The sequence below is a fragment of the Homo sapiens genome, chromosome 7, assembly GCF_000001405.40.
Source record: "Homo sapiens chromosome 7, GRCh38.p14 Primary Assembly".
Lineage (NCBI taxonomy): Eukaryota > Metazoa > Chordata > Mammalia > Primates > Hominidae > Homo > Homo sapiens.
In genome coordinates this window covers 144,228,227-144,250,525 of record NC_000007.14, presented here as the reverse complement: position 1 = coordinate 144,250,525, position 22,299 = coordinate 144,228,227, and the positions used below count along the sequence as shown (strand labels likewise).

General features: G+C 38.9%; 1 protein-coding gene and 2 long non-coding RNA genes across 3 annotated transcripts in view, besides 1 other annotated feature; 2 read left to right on the top strand and 1 right to left on the bottom strand.

Annotated features, from left to right (window-relative positions):
- The window catches only part of OR2A1-AS1 (OR2A1 antisense RNA 1), a 117,146-nt gene extending 105,193 nt beyond the window's left edge, over window positions 1–11,953 (top strand). The window contains exons 4-5 of the long non-coding RNA NR_126023.1: window positions 10,783–10,950; window positions 11,783–11,953. This is a non-coding gene — a long non-coding RNA (OR2A1 antisense RNA 1). The remainder of the gene's footprint in view (window positions 1–10,782; window positions 10,951–11,782) is intronic.
- The window catches only part of ARHGEF35-AS1 (ARHGEF35 antisense RNA 1), a 104,269-nt gene that overhangs the window by 49,064 nt on the left and 32,906 nt on the right, over window positions 1–22,299 (bottom strand). The window lies entirely within an intron of this gene.
- On the top strand, window positions 10,921–22,282 carry OR2A42 (olfactory receptor family 2 subfamily A member 42). The gene is made up of 3 exons (NM_001001802.3): window positions 10,921–10,950; window positions 11,783–12,094; window positions 17,679–22,282. The coding sequence occupies exon 3, from the start codon at window positions 17,683–17,685 to the stop codon at window positions 18,613–18,615; it is 933 nt and encodes a 310-aa protein (NP_001001802.2). The 5' UTR covers window positions 10,921–10,950; window positions 11,783–12,094; window positions 17,679–17,682; the 3' UTR covers window positions 18,616–22,282.
- Window positions 11,551–12,052: an enhancer, noted in NCBI's record as "OCT4-NANOG-H3K27ac hESC enhancer chr7:143935567-143936068 (GRCh37/hg19 assembly coordinates)". NCBI's record gives its function as "activates a minimal SCP1, AML or CMV promoter by ChIP-STARR-seq in primed H9 embryonic stem cells {active_cell/tissue: H9 hESC(primed)}" and the evidence as "EXISTENCE:reporter gene assay evidence [ECO:0000049][PMID:30033119]".

The following is a 22,299-nucleotide window of genomic DNA, read 5'->3' as shown; positions in this document are numbered from 1 at the left end:
TTTTAGATGTGTTGCATTCATTGGGTTTCTATGAGATGTGGTTTTATCAGACAATTTTTTCTTTTATTTCACAATTACTTTAATATCTGTAAAATAAAGAATTATTTTAATTCATTTTCCCAGTCCCAAAAGTTAAATACAGGCCACTTACTTCTTTAACCAAATGATATAGTTTGGCTCTGTGTCCCCACCCAAATCTCATGTCAAATTGTAATCCCCGCATGTCAGCGGAGGGACCTGGTGGGAGGTGATTGGATCATGGGGAGGGATTTCCCCCTTGCTGTTCTGTTGATAGTGAACGAGTTCTCACGAAATCTGATGGTTTAAAAGTGCAGCACTTCTCCCTTTGCTCTCTCTCTCCTGCTGTGCCATGGTAAGACGTGCCTTGCTTCCCCTGTGGCTTCCGCCATGATTGTACCTTTCCTGAGGCCTCTCCAGCCATGTGGAACTGTGAGCCAATTAAACTTCTTTTCTTTAGAAATTATCCAGTCCCGGGTAGTTCTTTATGGCAGTGTGAAAGCAGACTAATACACCGAACTATATAAACTCACTAACGGCATATGTCATAAGATTTAAAAGAAAATAAAAAGGTTCAGCCAAAGAAGTGATTCCCAAAACCCAGCAGCACACTTGTCCATTCTCACACAATTGCACTTTCCCTGTTAAATAGAGGGATTTAGTTAGTTGTGTTGCATGCGCTGAGAAATTTTGTGTAAAACTTATTAACTCATGTACAGGAGTTAACTAGTAGGCTGAGTGAAGGAACAAACTTAAAAGAAGAGATAAGTCAGGCACAGTGGCTCATGTCCGTAACCCCAGCACTTTGGGAGGCTGAGGTGGGTGGATCACTTGAGGCCAGGAGTTTGAGACCAGCCTGGACAATGTGGCAAAACTGCATCTCTACTAAAAATACAAAAATTAGCTGGGCGTGGTGGTGCATGCCTGTGATCCCAGCTATTCTGGTGACTGAGGAATGAGAATTGCTTGAACCTGGGAGGCAGAGGTTGCAGTGAGCCAAGATTGCGCCACTGCACTCCAGCCTGGGAGACGGGGAGACACTGTCTCAAAAAAGAAAACAAAAAAGGAAAACAAAAAGAACATATATAAGGGAAAAGAGAGAAGAGAAGCAAAAGAACACTACAGACCGTGTGGGAACAGTGAACAGTGTTTACAAAGTTCAGGGTAAACTCAGTAGCTAGTAGCTGGCAAAGAGGCAAAACTGGGCATTCCCTGTTGAAAAGGCTGAAAATGAGTATCCAAGAAAACTATTTGGGTTGTTTATGGTTTCTTCAGAAAACATTGAGTGTTGAGCTGTGTATTGTACATATGCACATCTGTCTCTAAGCGTGATTCTCCAGTGTCTTTTCATCAGCTCTTCCACCTTGGTTAGTCCAGTTGTGGATCATTTCCCTCATTAGAATGTCTTACCCCTGAAAAAGGAAATTTCACCAGACAGTGTAGGTATGTAGCTAGCTCTTCAACCATGGTGGTGAAGAAATTTTTGCTGAGCCAATCTATTTTCCTGTTAAAAGGTAAACTGAGGCACAATAAAATTTTAAAGAGTTTACTTGAGCAAATAGCAATTCATGAATCAGACAGCTCCAAACTATAAGTGGTTCATGGGCTCCACTAAAGGAATGCAAGGGGAGGGCTTTTACAGGACAACCACGGAACTAAAGCAAAGAAAATATTTGATTGGTTACCTTTATACAATTGCCTTAGTTGGCCTATACTGCTGGAAAGTCTTTAGTTATATAACTTAGTTGGCAGCTTCTGAGTGGTTAATCTTAAATTTCATTTTGCTTTAATACAAGTATTTATAAGAAATAGTTCAAGTTAATTTTCACTTGTGTTTGCAAATCAGTCTGGGTTAGGTCACTTATGAGGCCTAACTGGCTTTCCCTGCTCCAGGAAAAGTGATTCCATAAGTGACCTAACCCAGCCTGAATCATCTAAGTGATTCTCCATGTCTGGTTTCCATTTTAATTTTCTTTAACAAATCTTCACTACAAATCTAATGGTTAGAGATGAGTCCCCATGCATTTTAGGTGGCTTCCCAGAGTGTTACCTATAAATTCTACTTTCTAACCTTCCCTAAGATTAGGATGCCACTTGCTTCCAGAGTCTTTCTCAATTTTACAAGAGAGCATGTTAATACTTTTTCAGCAAAATAAGTGTATGCCTTTCATAGGGGTTAACAAGTACTCCACCCAACTCATTATTATTCCCTGTGGGTGAAGATACCCAGGCAGAACTTATTAAATGTAAAAACAAAATGAGTTTTTGTAATAATAGCTAACATTTTGACTCACCACTCAATGGCATATGCTACATATTAATAGCACTTTACATGGGCCATTTCATTTAGTCATAACAAATCCAGGAAGAAGGTCCTATTGTCACTATTTTATGTATGCACAAACCAGAAAGCAGCAAGTGTCAGACTTATCCCTAGACAGTCTGGCTCCCAGCCTCTGTACATAGCACATCAATGTAGAATTTTAATATCTATGTTATCAAATAAAGGATAAGGTAAATGTATCCCAAGGCAGAACTATTAAAAGAAGGAAGCTTTCTTTATAGTCTGATGTATGCCACAGGGAGCTGATCTGTTCTCTCTAAGGCGTGGAGGACCAGAGATCATGTATGAGAGGCTGGTTGTCCTGGATGGTGACTCTTATGTGCTGAGTCACATGAAAGCACTGGACTTCTAGACAAATGCAGAACATGAAGAAGATGAGAATAAAGGTAGTTCTCACTGAGACTGGCTATTTAGTTCAGCTAAGACCCAGAACCAACACACCCATAGTCAGTCTCTCTCTCTCTCTTTCTTTCTTTCTCTCTGTCTCTCTCTCTCACACACACACACACACACACACACACAAACACACAGAGCTTATTTACTTTGTGCCAGTCACTGCTCTAAGAATTTTACATGTATTACCTCAATTAATCCTCAAAATAACACTTTGAGTCAGAAGATAATCAATATCCTACCTTACATATAAAGAAACTGAGGCACGGAGAGATTAAGCAACTTGCCTGGTACCTCACAGCTAACAATTACCCAGTCCAGGATTGAACTAAGACAATCTGATCCCTGACCCTATAGCCATAACCACTACACAGCACGGCCTCTATAGAGCATATCTGTGAATAAAGATCAAAGAACTCGTGACAGTGAAAGAAAACACATAATTAAGACCAAACTATGGATATTCAGCTTTAGATAGAAAGGGGTATACATCTTCTAAAGGAAGCAGCTTGACTCTAAACAGAGATGTGAAAAAAGTGGGGGAGTGGTCGCAAGAAAGAACTGTGACTCCAAGGGTCAGGGATGCATGGCCGTGAGGACTCTGGGGTTGAGCTGGAGAGTGAAACAGACAACACTGAACGAGAAGACCGACAATGCAGTGTTACAGCAGTGCCTTACCAATTGATGAGAACTAAAATGGATGTTTTATAGCATTTTATCTAAAAACAGCCCCAAGAAAAAGGAATTCAGTTTCATTATTGATATTTAAAATGGTTATAATCTTTCAGGTGGTATTTACCTGAAAGTTTACCTGAGAACATTGCTCAGGTAGGTATCAAATTTCACATCTAAGATGGGGAGCTCCGCAACAGCAGGAATTGGAATCCATTCATTCATTTATCAGTAACATGAGCACATTGCCTAGCACCTAGTAGGCACTCACTAAGCACTGGCTGCACCAATTCATGCACCTTTAACTATCTGCTGAGTACTTAGACACAATTGTCAGTGTTAAACTATATTCTGATTTCTGTATTTTAAAAATCCTTGGGCTTGGCGTGGTGTCTCATGCCTGTAATCCCAGCACTTTGGGAGGCCAAGGCGGGCGGATCACGAGGTCAAGAGTTCAAGACCAGCCTGACCAACATGGAGAAACCCCGTCTCTACTAAGAATACAAAAAAATTAGCCGGGCATGGTGGCATGTACCTGTAATTCCAGCTACTTGGGAGGCTGAGGCAGAAGAATTGCTTGAACCTGGAAAGCGGGGTTTGCAGTGAGCCAAGATCACGCCACTGCACTCCAGCCTGGGCAACAGAGCAAGATTCCATCTCAGAAAAAAATAAAATAAAATAAAATAAAATAAAAATAAAAATAAAAATCATTTTATCTGAATAACACAGAATAGTAGAAAGTAATTGTAGCTTAAAAATTATTTAGCACTTGTGTACGAGACAATATGTTAAATGTTTTTGATATAATCCTCACATCAACACTGTGAATTAAGTACTAATAATATCCTCATTTATAGAGGGGAAATTGAGGTTTAGAGAATTAATTAATTTACTCGATGTCAACGAAATATCAAGTGGTAGAAATAAAACTGTAGTCCAGTCAATCTACTCTACATTAACTGAGAACCATTCTTTTGGAAAGGGCCTATTGATATTTGTATCTTCAGTGGCTAGACCAGGCCAGTTTCATAGTAGTTACTCAATAAATGTTGACTAAATAAATAAATGAGTAATCATGTAGTCCACACTTCTATATTTTTAAAAAAGGATCTCCATAAAATATGTAATTAAATACAGTGTCAGTCAATTTAATCATGTTTAGCTCCAGATACATTCCGTTTTTGCAAAAGTTTCTTCTGAGATGAATATTAATAAACTACATCTCATCTGTCAGTGGCCACAGAGAAATTGTAAACACATTCAGAGAGGATATTTCGAGACTAATATAAAAGAAAACTAGGATGATATATATTTGTTCCTATCATATAGAACAAAGGTTATAGGTCTTTCAAAAAGACTGTCCCAAATTGCCAAACCCTATGGTTATAGTATGACACAACGTGATTGTGCTGGCACAGTAGCCATGGAGAGAGTGTTCCCCTCCTCTGTCTTGCCAAAGAGTAGAGCATAAGGCACTGTAATTACTGAAAATGACACGGATGACACCCTGGGAGTGGAAGTCAGTGCATGCACTACCTTAAATTGGCCCCCATGGTGTCCTTGGTATGTAGAGTGAGCACTGCCATCACTGACCTGTAGGACCATTCTTTACTCTTTGCTAGGTAATGTAGACCAGTGCTTCTCACATGTCAATGTGTATATTAATCATTCAGGGATCTTGCAAAAATACAGGTTCTGATTCAACAGGTCTAAATGAAATAGGCAGAGATTTGCATTTCTTATCATCTCTCATACCTTGCTGATGCTGCGGATCCATAGACCACACTTTGAATATTAATCATATAGAGATTCATTGTTAAATCTATGGTTCCTAAGAAAAAGTGAAGGCCAGGCACAATGGCTTACATCTGTAGTTCAGCACTTTGGGAGGCTGAGGCAGGAGGATTGCTTGAGCCCAGGAGTTTGAGACCAGCCTGGGCAACATAGTGAAACTCTGTCTCTTCAAAAAACTTCAAACATAAAAAAATTAGCCAGGTGAGGTGGCACACGCCTATGGTTCCAGCTGCTTGAAAAGCTGAGATGGGAAACTTGCTTGAGCCTAGGAGGTTGAGTTCGCAGTGAGCCATGGTTGCACCACTGTATTCCACCCTAGGTGACAGAGAAAGACCCTGTCTCAATGGGGGGGGTGGGGGGGGGAAGAAAAGAAAAGAAAAAAGAAAAAGTGGGAGAAAAACAAGAGTTGGAATGCTGTCTCACAGCTCTGATGTTTTCCCAGACCATATCAATTTTTCTTACCTTCTTGATGAACTTTGATTAAGAGCCCTGCTTTCATTTGACTTGCTGTTTTGGTTTTTGTTTACTTTTTTTGACCTGTCTCTGTTTATTTGTTTGTTTTTAATTTTTGTAATCTTGTTGGGTCAAGAGAAGAGGTTCACTACTAGGCACGGCCTGGTTTGGTCCTCAGATGACTGGCTCAGAGCCAAGACATCTGGATTCTCTAAAATATTGAAAAAACCAAAGGTGCTTTTCCTACTCCTTTGCTTATACTCACACAGTCACTCAACAATTTACTTCTAACAACAGATACGTTGAGGTTTTTCCCCACACACCTAGCAATCTGCAATGGACACCGACTGCATGCCCTAAAAATCAATTCAATTCTGACACTATCTACTGGGAGACAGTGTCAGATCCCACAAGCCTGTTCCCCCCACCCAACACTACAGATGGTAATTGCAAGCCTCAGGTTGCGACCTGTGCTTCTGTTCAACTGGCTATACATTGGGACTCTCATGACCCCCCTCCTTAGGCTCAATTAATTTGCTAAAGTGGCTCACAGAACTCAGGGAAACACTTTACTTAAGTTTGACCATTTACTACGAAGGATATTACAAAGGATAGAGATGAACATCCAGATGAGAGAGATGCATCTGGTGAGGTATTGGAGAAGGGGCATGGAGCTTCCATGACCTCTCTGGGCACACCACCCTCCAGGAACCTCCATGTGTTCAGCAATCAAGAAAGTCTGCAAACCCTGTTTGGTTTTCTGTAAAGCCTTCATTACACAGGCATGATTGATTACATCATTGGCCATTAGTGATCAACTCAAACTTCAGGCCCTCTCCCCTCCCCAGAGGTTGAGGTATAGGCTGAAAGTCCCAACCCACTAAACATGCCTTTGTTTTTGTAGTAACCAGCCCCTATCCTAAAGTTATTTCAGAGCTCCCTGCCAGCAGTCATCTCATTAGCATACCGTCTAAGTCCATTTTGTGTTGCTATAACAGAATATCACAGACTGGGTAATTTATTTAAAATAGAAATTTATTTCTCAGAGTTCTGGAATCTGGGAAGTCCAATATCAAGGTGTCAGCATCTGCAGAGGGCCTTCTTGCTGCATGGTGAAAGGTGAGAGGATGAGAGAGGGACAAACTTGCTTTTGTAACTAACCCAATCTCCACATAACAAATCCACTCCTGAGACAACACCATTAATCCATGCATTAAGTCAGAGTTTTCATGACCTAATCACCTCTTAGAGGTCCCACCTTTCAACACTGTTACATTGGAGATTAAGTTTCCAACTCATGAACTTTGGGGGACACATTCAAACCACAGAACATACAAAAGATACTCTTATCACTCTGGGGATTCCTAGAGTTTTAGAAACTGTACGCCAAGAAATGGGGACAAAGACCAAATATATATTTCACAAAATTATGGGTTCCTCTCCCAATTTACCACCTACTCACTGCATGACCTTAGAGAAGTCACTTAATTCCTCTGCACATTGGTTTCCCCACATATAAAATGAAATGTCGGACTAGATGATTGTTAAGTTCCTTTTAGTTCTCAAATTCTATGCCTTTTTATTAACTTCCTAGAATGTATGTTGTTTTTCTTTTACATAGGAGACAAAATTAAATGGAATTTTTGAGAATAATTTTTGAGAATTATTCTCGAACTCCTGAGCCTCACAAATAGTAGGAATTCAAGAGTAACCACAAAATTAATTATTGATTTCAATATATTTATGCTGTATGAACTATGAATGGCATAAGACTTGCAGAATAAGGCAAAAGAAGTTTCACATTAACTGTCCTCTCTAAGGAAGTAAAAACAGTTTCATTACCCTATTTGAAAAAGATTAAGAATAACTTTTATTCACAGAGTTTCCCAGATCTGTACATTTGTGCTGGCATTGCACAAGTGACATAATAATATTAATTCCTGGCATTTATTGAGTACTTGTTTCATATCAAACAATGTTTTACACATATGCATTTATGTCTAATCTAATCTTCATAACAATTGCCAGAGGGAAGTATTACTATTATATACAATTTATACATGAAAAAAATCAAGGCACAGAGATGTTAAGTACACCTCAGACAGCTAGTAGGTGGCACAGGAGGACTTTTCTTTAGGTGTTCCAAAGGCCAGAGACTATGTCTGTAACTATTATACTAAGTTATACCAATCTCCTCCAGCCTGGACATATGGAGTCTTTTCTACCCATGATTAAAAGCTTGAGAAAAATGAGCCTGAATTTTTGACTGGCCTGAAATTTCATCCTAAGAAAGAGGATAGTAATGCAGCTAATATATTTTAACATAGGTGAAAAAACCAAAAGGGTAATACACAAATCCATGAGAAAAATGGACAAAAATATGTAGATACAGACAACAGAATAAACACAACATACCAATAAATATGACAATGTCATCTATCTCAATCAGGAAATCTACTATAAAATGAGATTTTTTTACTCAATAGATTGTGAGGGGAAAATGGTGTTACATGTGATGTTGATGACACTCACACATTGTTGGTGGAGGTATAAATTGGCACACATTTTGGATTTAAAAAACTGAAATTATTTACCCAACATTTAAAACACGCATACTAATTCTAAGAATCCATTCTACAGAAATACTTACATATGTAACTGCACAAAGAAATGTGTACATGGATTTGGTATTAAATTGATTTCAAAAATTCAAAAGATCAAGTGTTAATTTTGAAATTACTAAATTATGAAAAATGTTACACAGCTATTAAATAGAACAAGTATTATCTAAAATGAGCTGCAATGAAAATAGCTCATCAAATATAGCTAAATGAAAAAAGCAAGTAACATTTTTATAAGACTTTGTCATTTGTGCAGGGAAATCTCCTAGCTATACATAAATTCGTACACCTGTATATGTGTATGTGAGTACACATGTATGCACATGTGTGTTTACATACATCTGTATTTAATTTCGTGATCTGGAATGATGTACATTAAGTAGTCAACAGAAGTTGCTTTAGGCAGAGGAATGAACTAGGAGAAATAAACCCTTCTATGTTTTTCAATAATATTACAGGAAACACGTATTAATGTTAGAATTTCTAAAAAGCCTTTTCTCAAAAAACGTCTGGCCCCTTAAGTTCTCAAAACAGTACACATTTCTCATATATTTTAGTAAAAGCCAAAATTAAGCAATTATTAAAAGCAGTTTAGAATCTTGTTGGATTGTGCTAAATTGTATCAAAGTGTTTCCTCAAAAATATCATTTTGTATCACTTACATTATTATTCAATATTGGGCTATGTTTAAGTAAGTTAACCTATATTATTAATTAAAATAGTTTGCATGAGAAACCAAATAGCACACAAAATAAACCATGACTCCTCAGACTCTAAGATAACTGCATGACATAAGCAAAAAGTCAGTATTTCATGCCATATGTTGATGCTTTTTAGAATATGAATTGATCTCGAGAGCTCCTAATACCTTAGCTTTAGAGTTACTAGCCCTTCCTCATTCCTCTCATCGCCATAGTAATGTTAAATAATGTATTAGGTAGGATAAACAGCAACAGGTAAACTCCCAAATCACAGTGATTTAACAAAATAAAACTTTACATCTTGCTCATGTAAAGTCCTAGGCAGGGATGACAGACAGCCTTCCACTGGTGATGCAGGGACCCAGGCACCTTCCATCGCATGGTCCCGCCATCCTAGAGCCCTGTAGGCCTTCACTTCCAGCCAGTGATGGGAAGGCCAAACATGGAGGAGGCATGCCCTCCTCCTCCATGCATGCCCTCCTTCCACTGCAGCCCTGGAAGCTGCACAAATCTCTTCTGCTTGTATACCTTTTGTAAGAACATGACCCCACCTAAATATAAGAGGGCTGGGAAATGCAATCCCACACTGGCAGTTAAGTCCAGAGACAATTGTGCAAGGGAAGAAGACCCCACATCTTTTAAGGAATTTGTCTTAGTTAAGGTAACACTAGCAGCTGAAACAAACCCTAAAAGTAAGTCCTTACAATTATTTCTCTTTTGTTCTCTGTTTCAAAGGATTTCAGATGAACTTCTGCCCTTTTAACTCATAATTATTCATGAAATATAATTGAGAACATTAGCATTTTCACTCTCTTCTCATTCCACTTCTGTCATGCCATCCTGAAGATATATTTACCTATGTCTTGGCTGTTTCTCCGAACATTATTAGCTGCTCTTTTATAAAACATCTCTTAGGATAATTTACTCTGTAAGGTGGCTAAACCCACCCATCTTATGTTAGCTTTTGTCTGTATTACTCTCAAATGAACTCTGTGGTCAAATTCTAAAAGTACTTTAAGCATAGAAGTTATAAATGTTCAATGAAATCAAATGCCCAATGCTGGAAGATCATGTAAATATTTCTCATTTCAATTAATATTGGCTGTGTCGTTTATGTGCTGAGTTCTTTCATATACTTTTGTGTCATTTTTACTGTCTTCAACAGAAGTTATTTCAATTTAATTTTAACAGAATATTGACAATTTTGAGTTATAGCTATTGATATTCATGTTCCTAAAGGGTTTTTGCTAAGTTTTTGTTTGTGTGACATTCCCAAATGTTATACTTACTTACTAATTATTTTCTATCTTTTTAATTTTTATACCCTCAAATGTGTGTTTATAACCAATGTTCCTAAGGTGTTGGTTATATAGAAATGAATTCTCTAAAGCCATTATTCACAGAACTTTCAGCTGACTACTTGCTCCCAAAAGGCAGTTTCCTGATTTCTGCATACTGGCGTATCATGCAAACATCTGTAAGCATATCCATTTCTACTAAGATCGGACTGTTCTGTCTGTGTTATTTTCCTTCGTATACTTTTACGTTTTGTATGTGTTTACTCTGACCATTTTTAGAAGCTTAAGCTTCTTCAACTTGATATGTGATAAATCATGTAATTTGAGGCGATGCATTTCCTAAATTAGTTTGTTTGGCATCATAAAAACCTTATATTTAACTTGTTTTAGCTCACATTTTCTGTTTTCTACCTTAAAATGACTTTTTCTAACTGATGTTCATATGATGAGGAATATGGAAAAAAGTTCTAAAATTGTTGTTTTCACAGGCTTGTCATTTATATCTGTTGCACTTCACCGGGGTGTGGAAAGAAAAATAAAGAAAAGATTCTAATGTTTATGGATGGCCTACTAGGCACTAGACTTTTCATATGATCAGGAGCATTTTTGTGTGTCCCCAAAGCAATTCACTGTGGACATATACAGCTGGAACACAGGTGAGCGTGTTCTCACACCCTGATTACCTGGGCAAGATTTTCCTTGGGTTTATACCATAACCCCAGCAGGTCAAAGACCACATTGTAATAAACTCATTAGTTTGTAAATTGCATAATTGCTTAATATAAAATTCATAATCCTCCTATGTCCAGTAGAAGAAAGAAGTAGAAATAAACATGAAAATACCTTTGACCAGCAAATATCTCCACCCTCCAGGGAGAGGTAGTAGCTTCTAGGGAAACCATCTTGGAGAGGGTCCTGTCTTCCCCTGAGGTGGGCTCTGAATCCAGCACTCTTCCCCTTTCAGAATAAAGATTAGAGAATAATTCTAATACACGATCTACAGTGGTGGTTTGTGTCTTAGGAGACCCTCCCTTCAGGCAGGTTCTAATAAGCCCCACCGGGACACCTTGGCCCCTCCGTTGACTCCCCAGTCTGCTCTGTGCCTCCCTCACCAGCTCCCCAAAGCATCTCCATACCTTGGAGGGTCACTTGGAACCAGCTAACTTTTCAGGGTCCTTTCTTCCCAGTTCTGCTGCAACACAAGTAACCCAGATTACATCAGGGAGAGGCTGAGCTACAGAGGTTCCTGCCAGGAGCTTATTCATTGTCACACTGGTTCTGCTTCCTGACAGGTTCACTTGAACCATCTGAAGCTTGGGGAACAAGGGCAGTGCTGGGATTCATGAAATCCAAGCATTCCGGGACTATAATGAAAGATGTTGTCTCAGAGGTGTGCTCTGTGGCTGTCGGTGTTTGTTAATTGTGCATCCTGCTGGGGTTAAGAACAGAAATAGAAAAAACCAATTGTCTTGTCTCTCCTTCCCCAAGGAGATGAGCATGCAGGAGGTTTCATGGCCCAGCTCCTCCAGTGATCCCTCAGCTGTCAACCAGGCTGAGCACATCAGAGAATAACACCTCCTTTTCTGAGGATTCTGATACATTTTCAATCAGAAACAGAAGCAAAGATTCTGCAGCTCCCACAGAAACTCCCAGAAACCTTCAGGTGCTTCACTCTTCTGAGATCCTTGAGTCCAAATGTGGGAGCTAACCAGGTTGCCTCTTTTTACTTTACCATGAATTCCTCCTAGACATGTTGTAGCTCCTGGTCTTGGTTAACTTTCACATCCACTACAAACATTGGTAAGGAAATTCACTCCTCTCTAATTATGTGCTGATTATCTTTCTGCAATGGGGATAGTTTGAGGGAAAGTTCATGCTAACTTCTTTGAACATATTATCACAAATAATGTATGTATGTAGAGAATTAAGCTAATTTTTTATATGATGGAGAAGTAACTGCATGAAAGCAACAAAACTATAAACATCAATGCCAGATTTAAATAAATAAAGAATACATCATCCATAAAATTAACATGTTGACTTCCACTGCCATAATCAAGACTACAAAATCAGCTTTAGAGGATCATGGTTTTAAGGGACTATTGTGAACCTTGAAGAGGCAATGCTTGTCAGGTTCATACAATCTTCAGGCTACTCAAGAAATTGTTAAAGACTGATAATAATTGATCTCAGCCATTAAGTGTTCACTGCATACCAGAAATGTGTTCAATGTATAACACAGATCATCTCAATTAATCTTCACAACCACCTCATAAAATAGGTACTATCACTTTTCTCCTTTTTAAAAAAGAGGAAACGAGTTTGGAGAGGCTAAGATATGTGCTCAAGGTCATATAACTAATAAATGTGCATCTGACCACTAAGCCCATGGCTCTTTAATTGCTACTTTTTTTGTTTCTTTCAGTGTTTACTCTGCCTGAGAACCTGATTCACAGAAGAATGTGGAGAGTTCATTAATGTTTTGCTTTCTCATATTTAATCAAATTGATATCTAGTTAGTCAATAAATAATTATTGAACACCTACCATATTCCAGGCACAATATATAGTCAAATGTATTTCACCTTTTTAGTCACTTACTAGATCAATAAATCAAATGAATGAATGAATGCCTAAATATCATTTTTTGGTTTTTTTTTTGTTGTTGTTTGTTTGTTTGTTTTTTTACCGTCTTTGGACTGAATCTGGAATTTCTGGCTTGCTTAAATCTTGCCTACTGTAATCGGTATACTTGAAAGACACTACTATTTCTCCACCCACCCCCACCCCATAGTTTCTTTCATTCTATGTGATACAAAGAAAATCTCATTTAAATGCAAATGGATTAAATTCATCAAAGGATTGGAAAAAGTGAAAGAAGATACTAAAAATAAAATTAAATATAACCCAGTTGCAAACATAACGTTCAGGCATTGTGTATGTTTTAAATGATATATATGTACAAGTTAGCCATTTAAAAATTTGGCAAATTATTTTATGACTAATAAATTATCCAACATCTCCATGATTTCTAAGTAAATATGTAAGACTGAAATCATTTCTTTGCAGATGACCAAACCTGTCTATTTCAAAAAGTAAAACTTAAGATCTGATGAGCCAACAAACTCCTAATGAGTCACATCATATTCTTTAAATAAAAGCTATTTTTAAATCCTCAGGTCAAATAAAGTATTAGATGCTTTACTCCCGAGTAATAAGAATATTTGAGGCCAGGTGCAGTGGCTCATGTCTGTATTCTCAGCACTTTGGGAGGCTGAGGCAGAAGGACTGCTTGAGGCCAGTAGTTTGAGACCAGCCTGGACAACACAGTGAGACCCTATCTCTAAAAAAAAGTTTTTAAAAAAAGGTAGCCAGACATGGTAGAGCACACGTGTAATCCCAGCTACTGGGGAGGCTAGGTGGGAGGATCACCTGAGCCTAGGGAGGTTGAGGTTGCAACGAACTATGATTGCGCCACTGCACTCCAGCCTAAGTGACAGAACGAGATCCTGCCTCAAAAAGAGAAAGAAAAAAAAAAAGACAAAGGAGTGTTATGAGTGTATTAGTTTTAACAAATATTCTTTTTTTCCTTTTCTTTTTGTTGAGACAGGGTCTCACTCTATTGCCCAGGCTGAAGTGCAATGGTTCTATCATAGCTCACCACAACCTCAAACTGCTGGGCTCAAGCAACCCTCCTGCCTCAGCCTCCCAAGCGGGTAGAACTACAGGCATGTGCCACCACGCCCAGCTACTGTTTTTGTTTCTGTTTTACTTGTTTTTTTGAGACAGGGTTTCACTATGTTGCCCAGGCTGGTATTAAACTACTGGTGTCAAGCAATCCTCCTGCCTCAGCCTCCCAAAGTGCTGGGATTACAGGCATGAGCCACCGCATCCAGCCTCAAATATTTCTGATTCTTGGAAATAAATCATCTAATACTTTACTTGACCTGAGGATTTAAAAATAGCTTTCATTTTAAGAATGTTGTGTGACTCATTAGAAAGGAGTTTGTCAGCTCATCAGATCTTAAGTTTTACCTTTTGAAGTAGACAGGTTTCGTCATGTGTAAAGAAATGATTTCAGTCTTACATATTTACTTAGAAGCCATGGAAACGTTGGTTAATTTATTAGTCATCAAATAATTTGCCAAATTTTTAAATGGCTAACTTGTACATATATATCACTTAAAGCAAGCTTGTCCAAATTGCAGGTGGCCCAGGACAGCTTTGAATGTGGCCCAACACAAATTTGTAAATTTTCTTAAAATATTATGTGATTTTTTTTTTAAGTTCGTTAGCCATCGTTAGTGTTAGTGGATTTTATGTGTGGCTCAAGACAATTCTTCTTCTTTCAACATGGTCCAGGGAAGCCAAAAGATTGGACACCCCTGAAAGTATACACAATGCCTGAATGTTACATTTGCAACTGGGTTATATTTAATTTTTTTTTTTAGTCTCTCCTTTCACTTTTGCCAACCCTTTGGTAAATTTAATCCATTGAGTTAAGTAAGATGTTCTTTGTATCATGTAGAATGAAAGAAACTATGGGGGAGAAAAAGAAAACAAAAGTGTCTTTCAAGTATTCAGATTATAGTAGACATTCCAGATTCAGTCAAAGGATGGTTAAAAAAACTATGCATTCATTCATTTATTCATTTGTATTTATTGATTAATTTGTCCACACAGTAAGTATTTACTGTCAGGATTACAAAAGTGAGAGCACCTTTTCCTTGTTCACAAGGAGTGTGTTAACAACCCAGTCCTGTAAAAGAAATCAGGGTTTCAACCCATGTGGCAACTGTCCTTAAAGAATCTGAGTGTCTTCACCAAGCTCTCCTTTCTTCTTGACTCTCCATCTAGCTTTCAAAGAAATTCATACTTGTGCATAGTGGATTTTTTTTCTTTGTATAATCATTTGGGGAGTTACAAAAGGAAATAATGAAGGACTAAATAAAGAAATTAAGTTTTTTATAAGATGTAGACTGGGTACACGGTTCATGCCTACAATCCCAGCACTTTGGGAGGCTGAGGTGGGAGGAGCACTTGAACCCAAAAGTTTGAAACCAGCCTGGGTGACATAATAATACATTGTCTGTACAAAAAATATTTATTTAAAAAAATTAGCTAGGTATGGTGGCATGCACCTGTAATCCCAGCTACTTGGGAGGCTGAGGGGGAGGATCACTTGAATCTGATATGTCAAAACTACAGTGAGCCGTAATCACACCACCGCATTCCAGGGCAGGTTTCACAGGGAAACCGTCTCAAAAAAATAAATAAATAAATAAAGATGTTTATAAGGTGTAAATTCAAATGCATTTCACAACCAAATATTTCATATGCTTTGCGTGTTTTCCAATTAAATGTAGAAGGTTGGCCTAGGAGAGTATTTTTTTAATAGAATCCTGAAAAAAAAAATATAACCCTTGGCCATGTGTTATGAAGTTACAATATTCACTAGAATTTATTTGTGTCTTGCTGATAATAATCAACAATTTATTGATAATGCTTATAAGTATACAATCATTTGTTACCACTGGAAAAGGATCCAGTGGGAACGTTCTTTAGGGCTCCAATTAGATTAGTTTTTTAACTTTTTCTTTTCTAACTTTTAAGTTCAGGGGTACAAATGCAGGTTTGTTACATAGGTAAACAAACTTGTGTCTTGAGGGTTTTTTGTACAAATTATCTCATCACCCAGATATTAAGCCTAGTACCCATTAGTTATTTTTTGTGATCCTCTTCCTCCTCCCACCCTTTACCCTGTGATAGGCCCCAGTACTGTGTTGTTCCCCTCTATGTGTCCATGTGTTCTCATCATTTAGCTCCTGCTTATATGTGAGAACATTCGGTATTTGGTTTTCTGTTCCTGCATTAGTTTGCTAAGGATAATGGTCTCCAGCTCCATCCATGTCCATCAAAGGATAAGATCTCATTCTTTTTTTATGGCTGCATAGTATTCCATGGTGTATATGTACCACATTTTCTTTATCCAGTCTATCGTTGGTGGACATTTAGGGTGGTTCCATGTCTTTGCTCCAATGACAGCTGGACCAGGGTCTTATCAAAAGCAGCATATTTCCTTAATCTGGAGAAGTTCTCCTTAATCCAGAGAAGCTTTTTCTTCAGAGATAAGCAGGTTCAACGGCTCAGCCGCAGGTTATTTTTGCCTAGCAAAGGCACTAACAAAAACATGTGCACTGGCAAAATACTGGATTTCTACATGGTATATTGAGGAAAATGTTATCTAGGACTTAAGGACAAAAACCCAAATATTATTTGGCACATCACCAATTCACAAATACCAATTACCTGACAATTTATTGCTATAATAATCTGCAAAATAATGAAGTCACTAAATTAGCTCTTTGCAAAAAAAGTTTTAATTAGCCACCTGTAAAGTGTTTAGCAATTCTTATGTTGCTGAAGCACAATTAATTTTTTATGAATGGTCATTTCTGGTGTTTTTGAAAGATACTTCATTTAAATTTTTTCTCCATAGTTTCTTTCATTCTACATGTAAAAAGAACATCTTACTTAAACACAAATGGATTAAATTTACCAAAGGGTTGGCAAAAGTGAAAGGAGAGACTAGAAAAGAAATGATATATAATGCAGTGGCAAACATAACATTCAGGCATTGTGAATGTTTTAAATGATACGTATGTACAAACTCGCCCAGAAAAATCTAATTTCTACAAATTGTGTGAGTTGTTATTCAAAACCAGTTTTTGGTAAATCAGTAACTGTGCATCAATCAGTAGATTAACTGCCAAATCACCAATTATCGGTTCCTATTTATGACCCATTGTAAAATAAAGATTGCAATTAGAACCCATTTGTAGCACATCCATTAGTTCCTTCTCAGGAACCCAAACAATCACAATGTCATTAAAATTGTTTTTTGTCTTTCTACTTCTTCTGTTATTATATAAACTGCTCCAGAGTGCAAAGGTTGATTTCAGATGTTGAAAGCAAAATAGTTGATATTTCTACTGAGAAACTGGGATTACATCATCTTTTTTTCTAGGACTACTCTAATTCCCATATTTGGAGTTCTTCCATTACTGATTATTTCTACACTTCAGGAATTCTCTTAGTAATTTTTATATGTGCAGCTTCAAGACAATCCTTATTAGATGGTCATTTTACTTCCACTTTTGGTACGACATTCTTTCTTCCCATGATGTGTCAATGGCTCTATGTATCCTATCATTGGTGACACAATCCCTTCTATAACACTGGATACTTACAATCAGTAATTAACTTAATGTGTAGCTCAATCACTAATGTTAAAAGTTTATCTTTTAAAAATGACTAAATTCATAAAATAATGTCTAGGTGTTTTTTGACAATCTGGTCCTAAGTGATCTTTTTCTTTTTCACAGGGAAATGGGGGAAAATCAGACAATGGTCACAGAGTTCCTCCTACTGGGATTTCTCCTGGGCCCAAGGATTCAGATGCTCCTCTTTGGGCTCTTCTCCCTGTTCTATATCTTCACCCTGCTGGGGAACGGGGCCATCCTGGGGCTCATCTCACTGGACTCCAGACTCCACACCCCCATGTACTTCTTCCTCTCACACCTGGCTGTCGTCGACATCGCCTACACCCGCAACACGGTGCCCCAGATGCTGGCGAACCTCCTGCATCCAGCCAAGCCCATCTCCTTTGCTGGTTGCATGACGCAGACCTTTCTCTGTTTGAGTTTTGGACACAGCGAATGTCTCCTGCTGGTGCTGATGTCCTACGATCGTTACGTGGCCATCTGCCACCCTCTCCGATACTCCGTCATCATGACCTGGAGAGTCTGCATCACCCTGGCCGTCACTTCCTGGACGTGTGGCTCCCTCCTGGCTCTGGCCCATGTGGTTCTCATCCTAAGACTGCCCTTCTCTGGGCCTCATGAAATCAACCACTTCTTCTGTGAAATCCTGTCTGTCCTCAGGCTGGCCTGTGCTGACACCTGGCTCAACCAGGTGGTCATCTTTGCAGCCTGCGTGTTCTTCCTGGTGGGGCCACCCAGCCTGGTGCTTGTCTCCTACTCGCACATCCTGGCGGCCATCCTGAGGATCCAGTCTGGGGAGGGCCGCAGAAAGGCCTTCTCCACCTGCTCCTCCCACCTCTGCGTGGTGGGACTCTTCTTTGGCAGTGCCATCATCATGTACATGGCCCCCAAGTCCCGCCATCCTGAGGAGCAGCAAAAGGTCTTTTTTCTATTTTACAGTTTTTTCAACCCAACACTTAACCCCCTGATTTACAGCCTGAGGAACGGAGAGGTCAAGGGTGCCCTGAGGAGAGCACTGGGCAAGGAAAGTCATTCCTAACTGGTGTGACATTTGACTCTCCCTCCTCAGTCATCTCCTGGAATCTTGGTACCAAATACCACCTAAGTTCACTACTCTCTTTATATCTGAGACTGAATGAACCAAGAGACTCTGCAAAGCATTCCTTTTTCCTGCCTGGGAAGTATTTAGTTTTTGATGCATTTGTTATACTTAACATTTTTTAATTTAAGCACTTATTGAGTTGAGAATGTTGGGGAAAGATTTATTTTGTACACTGCTATGAGTCCAGAAGTTTAAAACAGACACTCCACCTGTGACTTAGTCAGGTATGCTCAGTAGTAGAGGAATAGCAGTTATTACCAGATAAAGTCATATCTATAAAAAGTTTTTAAAAATACAGCCACAGGCAGAGACTCCAGAACCCATTGATACCTCTGTCCATTTTCATCCTCATTTGGATGTTTCCCCTCAATTGTACTTCCTTTCTTATAAGCAGTAAATGTACCTAAGTGCCTACTTCAGCTTGGAGGGAAATTGATTTTTATAAAATCCTACAAACTGACAATTTCTGTTGTCAGAGAGAGTGAATCCATAAACATTCAGCTGGCAATCTGAAGCAATTACACAACAAAATCCACTTTCCAACCTGCCCTGAGACTGTGATGGTCACTTGTTTCTACTCTTCTCACCTCCTCCAGGGGACTGTCTATGATTGTCTCTAAATAAGCACATGCTCTTCACTTAGAGGAAGTTAGTACCACCACACAACTTTTCACTGCTGGGGACGAATGGAAAGCCCCACACAGAGACAATTCAATGGAAAAAAGCGTTTTAATAATAATGTTAATAGTTAGCATTATTATAAATTACTCTGCACCATCCACTGCACATTGATAGGTACTTTATAGAGATAACCTCAGTTTATCATTATAGCCAATTCATTTCCCATTATTATCCCATTTTATAGATGTGAACTTCAAGCAGATGGTAAATGTTAGACTCATACCCAAACAATCTGGCTCCCAAGCCTTCTTTACTTAACCAGGACAATGTGGGACTTTATTAGCAACATTTCAAATTAAGAATAAGTCTAACCAATCCTAACGTAGGATATGTTAAGTGAATGTGGGTTTCTTCCCCATCTAGAATGTGCCATGATGAGGCCAGGAGAGTCAGAGATTATTTATGGAAGGCTTCTTATCCTGTTTGACGAGTCCTGTGGGCATGGCTGCAAAGGAGGTTAAGAGATTCAGAGGAACACAGAACACAGACAGGGTGGGAGTAGAGGCTGTTCTCAATGAGATTAGAGAGTAAGTTTAGAACTATACTTGGTTCTGGGTGGTAAGATCCAGAACAAAGACATCTCTAGTTCACGTACAACACTCACATGCTCACGTACATGCGTGCGCGCACACACACACACACACATATACGCACAGTGCTTAGTGAAGCACTATTCCAAGAACCTTACAAGTAAGAGCTCTTTAAGTCCTCATAAAAACCCTATGAGGTAGAGACTATTACTACTATTTTTAGGCGAGAAAACAGAACTATAGAGAGATTATATAATTTAACCAATGCTCCCAGCTAATAAGTACCTAGTCCAGAATCAAACTTAGGCAATATGACTGCTGAACCCATAATCGTAACCATTATATAAAAATCAAAGAGATCATGAAATTTCCAAAGATGAAGAGGAGGAGAGATGAAAAGCAATTTTCAATCTCTAGCCAAAGATAGGCATTGGGCTCCAGACAGAAAAGTACTTAAAGCTGGGGGAAAAACAAACAAACAAACAAACAAACAAACAAAAAACAGCTTTTTTTATACTGGTGCGTGAAATGAGATGAGGTGGTAGCAAGAAGGAACTGTGACTCCAAGGGTCAGAGACGGAGGAGGAGCCTCTTGACGGGCAGGATGGTGAAACCAAAAACAATGGATAAAACTTTTAAGTTGATGGTTCATCAATTGAAGAACATTAGAAAGTGTTTTTGTAAATTATCTAGCCGGGCATGGCAACGTGTGCCTACATCCCCAGCTATTCGGGAGGCTGAGGCAAGAGGATCACTTGAGCCAGGGATTTTGAGGCTGCAGTGAGCCATGATCGCACCACTGCATTCCAGCCTGGGTGACAGAGTGAGACCTTGTCTCCAACAATAATAACAATGAAATAATTTATTAAATTTTTTAAAATTACCCAAACTGGATATACAATTTGTAATTCCATTGCTGCCGAACAGTTTTTAAACGGTTGTTTAGTTTCACGGCAGATGCTGCATACTGCATTGCAACTAACACTGGGAAGGGATACATTCAAGTGGCAGGACAAAGGTGAGGAGCTCTAATACCAGGGGTAGGTTTCAAGGGATGAATACTCCCCTGGTACCAGAGGAGCAGCAGGAAATCATGGTGTGCAGAAACCATGCTCAGGCGGTTGCCTGTGTGGACCCTAAATTCTGTGTGTGCAGTCCTCTCTTAGGATTGGCCCAGGCATCCAGGAAGCCCACGATGCTGCCTACCCCTTAAATACACAAGGTGCGTACCGGAGGCCCTGGTTCTAGTTCCAGATGTACCATTTGCTAGCTGTGTTTTTTGCAGAGAAGTCCCTTAAACTGCTTAAGCTTCAGTCCTTCATCTGAAAATTATGCATATGGAAGCTGTTTAGGACACCACAGAGTGCCACTGAAAACCCAAAGCAAGATGCAAATGGACACATTTTTTTTCTGAAGACTTAAAAGTGCTATGTGAACATAAGATAAACTGTTATGATTACCCTGCTGTCAGAAGTTATTTTAAACCTGTCAGGGTTGCTAAACTTTCTGATCTGGAACCAAAATTGCTCTTTAAACAGGAAGAGCATTGGTGCTGGTAGGTCACCTACGCCTTTGCCCTCATGGCTTCCCCATGTCCCCCCTAGAGGCACAGGAGGCCACTCACTCTTGGAGGGCATAGCTGGACCAGGAGCATGAGCTGTGGCCCAGACTCAGGGAACCTCTGTGAGTCAGCTGGCAAAGGCTCCCGGGGAGCCTGTCTCTGAATCTGGTCCTAGCCCGTTCACTTGGAAAAAACAGGAGACTTCTCCCAAGGTCAAGGAATTCAGATTTTGGTTTTGGTTTCCAACTTTTTGTAATCCTCAACCTGGGATTTACAGTGCATGTCTCAATTATGTTTCATTCATTGCTTCACAAAGGGAAGGACAAGCACTGGTTCATCTCTTTACACCTATACATTCCTAGCACAGAGTGAGTACTCACAAAAAACATACGGAATACATAGAGGACACTTTATCTGTTGACCCCATTTCCAAATTTTCAGTGTTGAGCCATCTTCTGATTTCTAAACTTCTTTAAATCCCTCTAATTTTAGGTCATACTACAGTAGAAATTTAATTGTAGCTGATAATTATTGAGCACTTACTATGTGGTTGGCACTGCATAAAATGCTTTAGAAAAATTCTTACATCAAATATGTGGAGTAGGTACTAATACTATCCTAACATTAAAGGGGGGGGGGAAATAAAGTTTAGTGTAATTAATTAATTTATTCAAGGTCGCCAAATCATTCAGTGGTAGAAACATGAATCAAGACCAGGCAGTCTGACTGTAAATAAATTCTGAGCCACTCTCTTGCAGAGGACCTCCTGATATTCATCTCCTGAATGGTTGGCAACAGGCCTGTTCATAGTAGACACTCAATAAACTTTGACTAAATGAACAAATGAGT

Excerpts from the sequence above, each read along its gene's own strand:
- OR2A42 (NM_001001802.3), top strand. The coding sequence starts at position 17,683 with ATGGGGGAAAATCAGACAATGGTCACAGAGTTCCTCCTACTGGGATTT.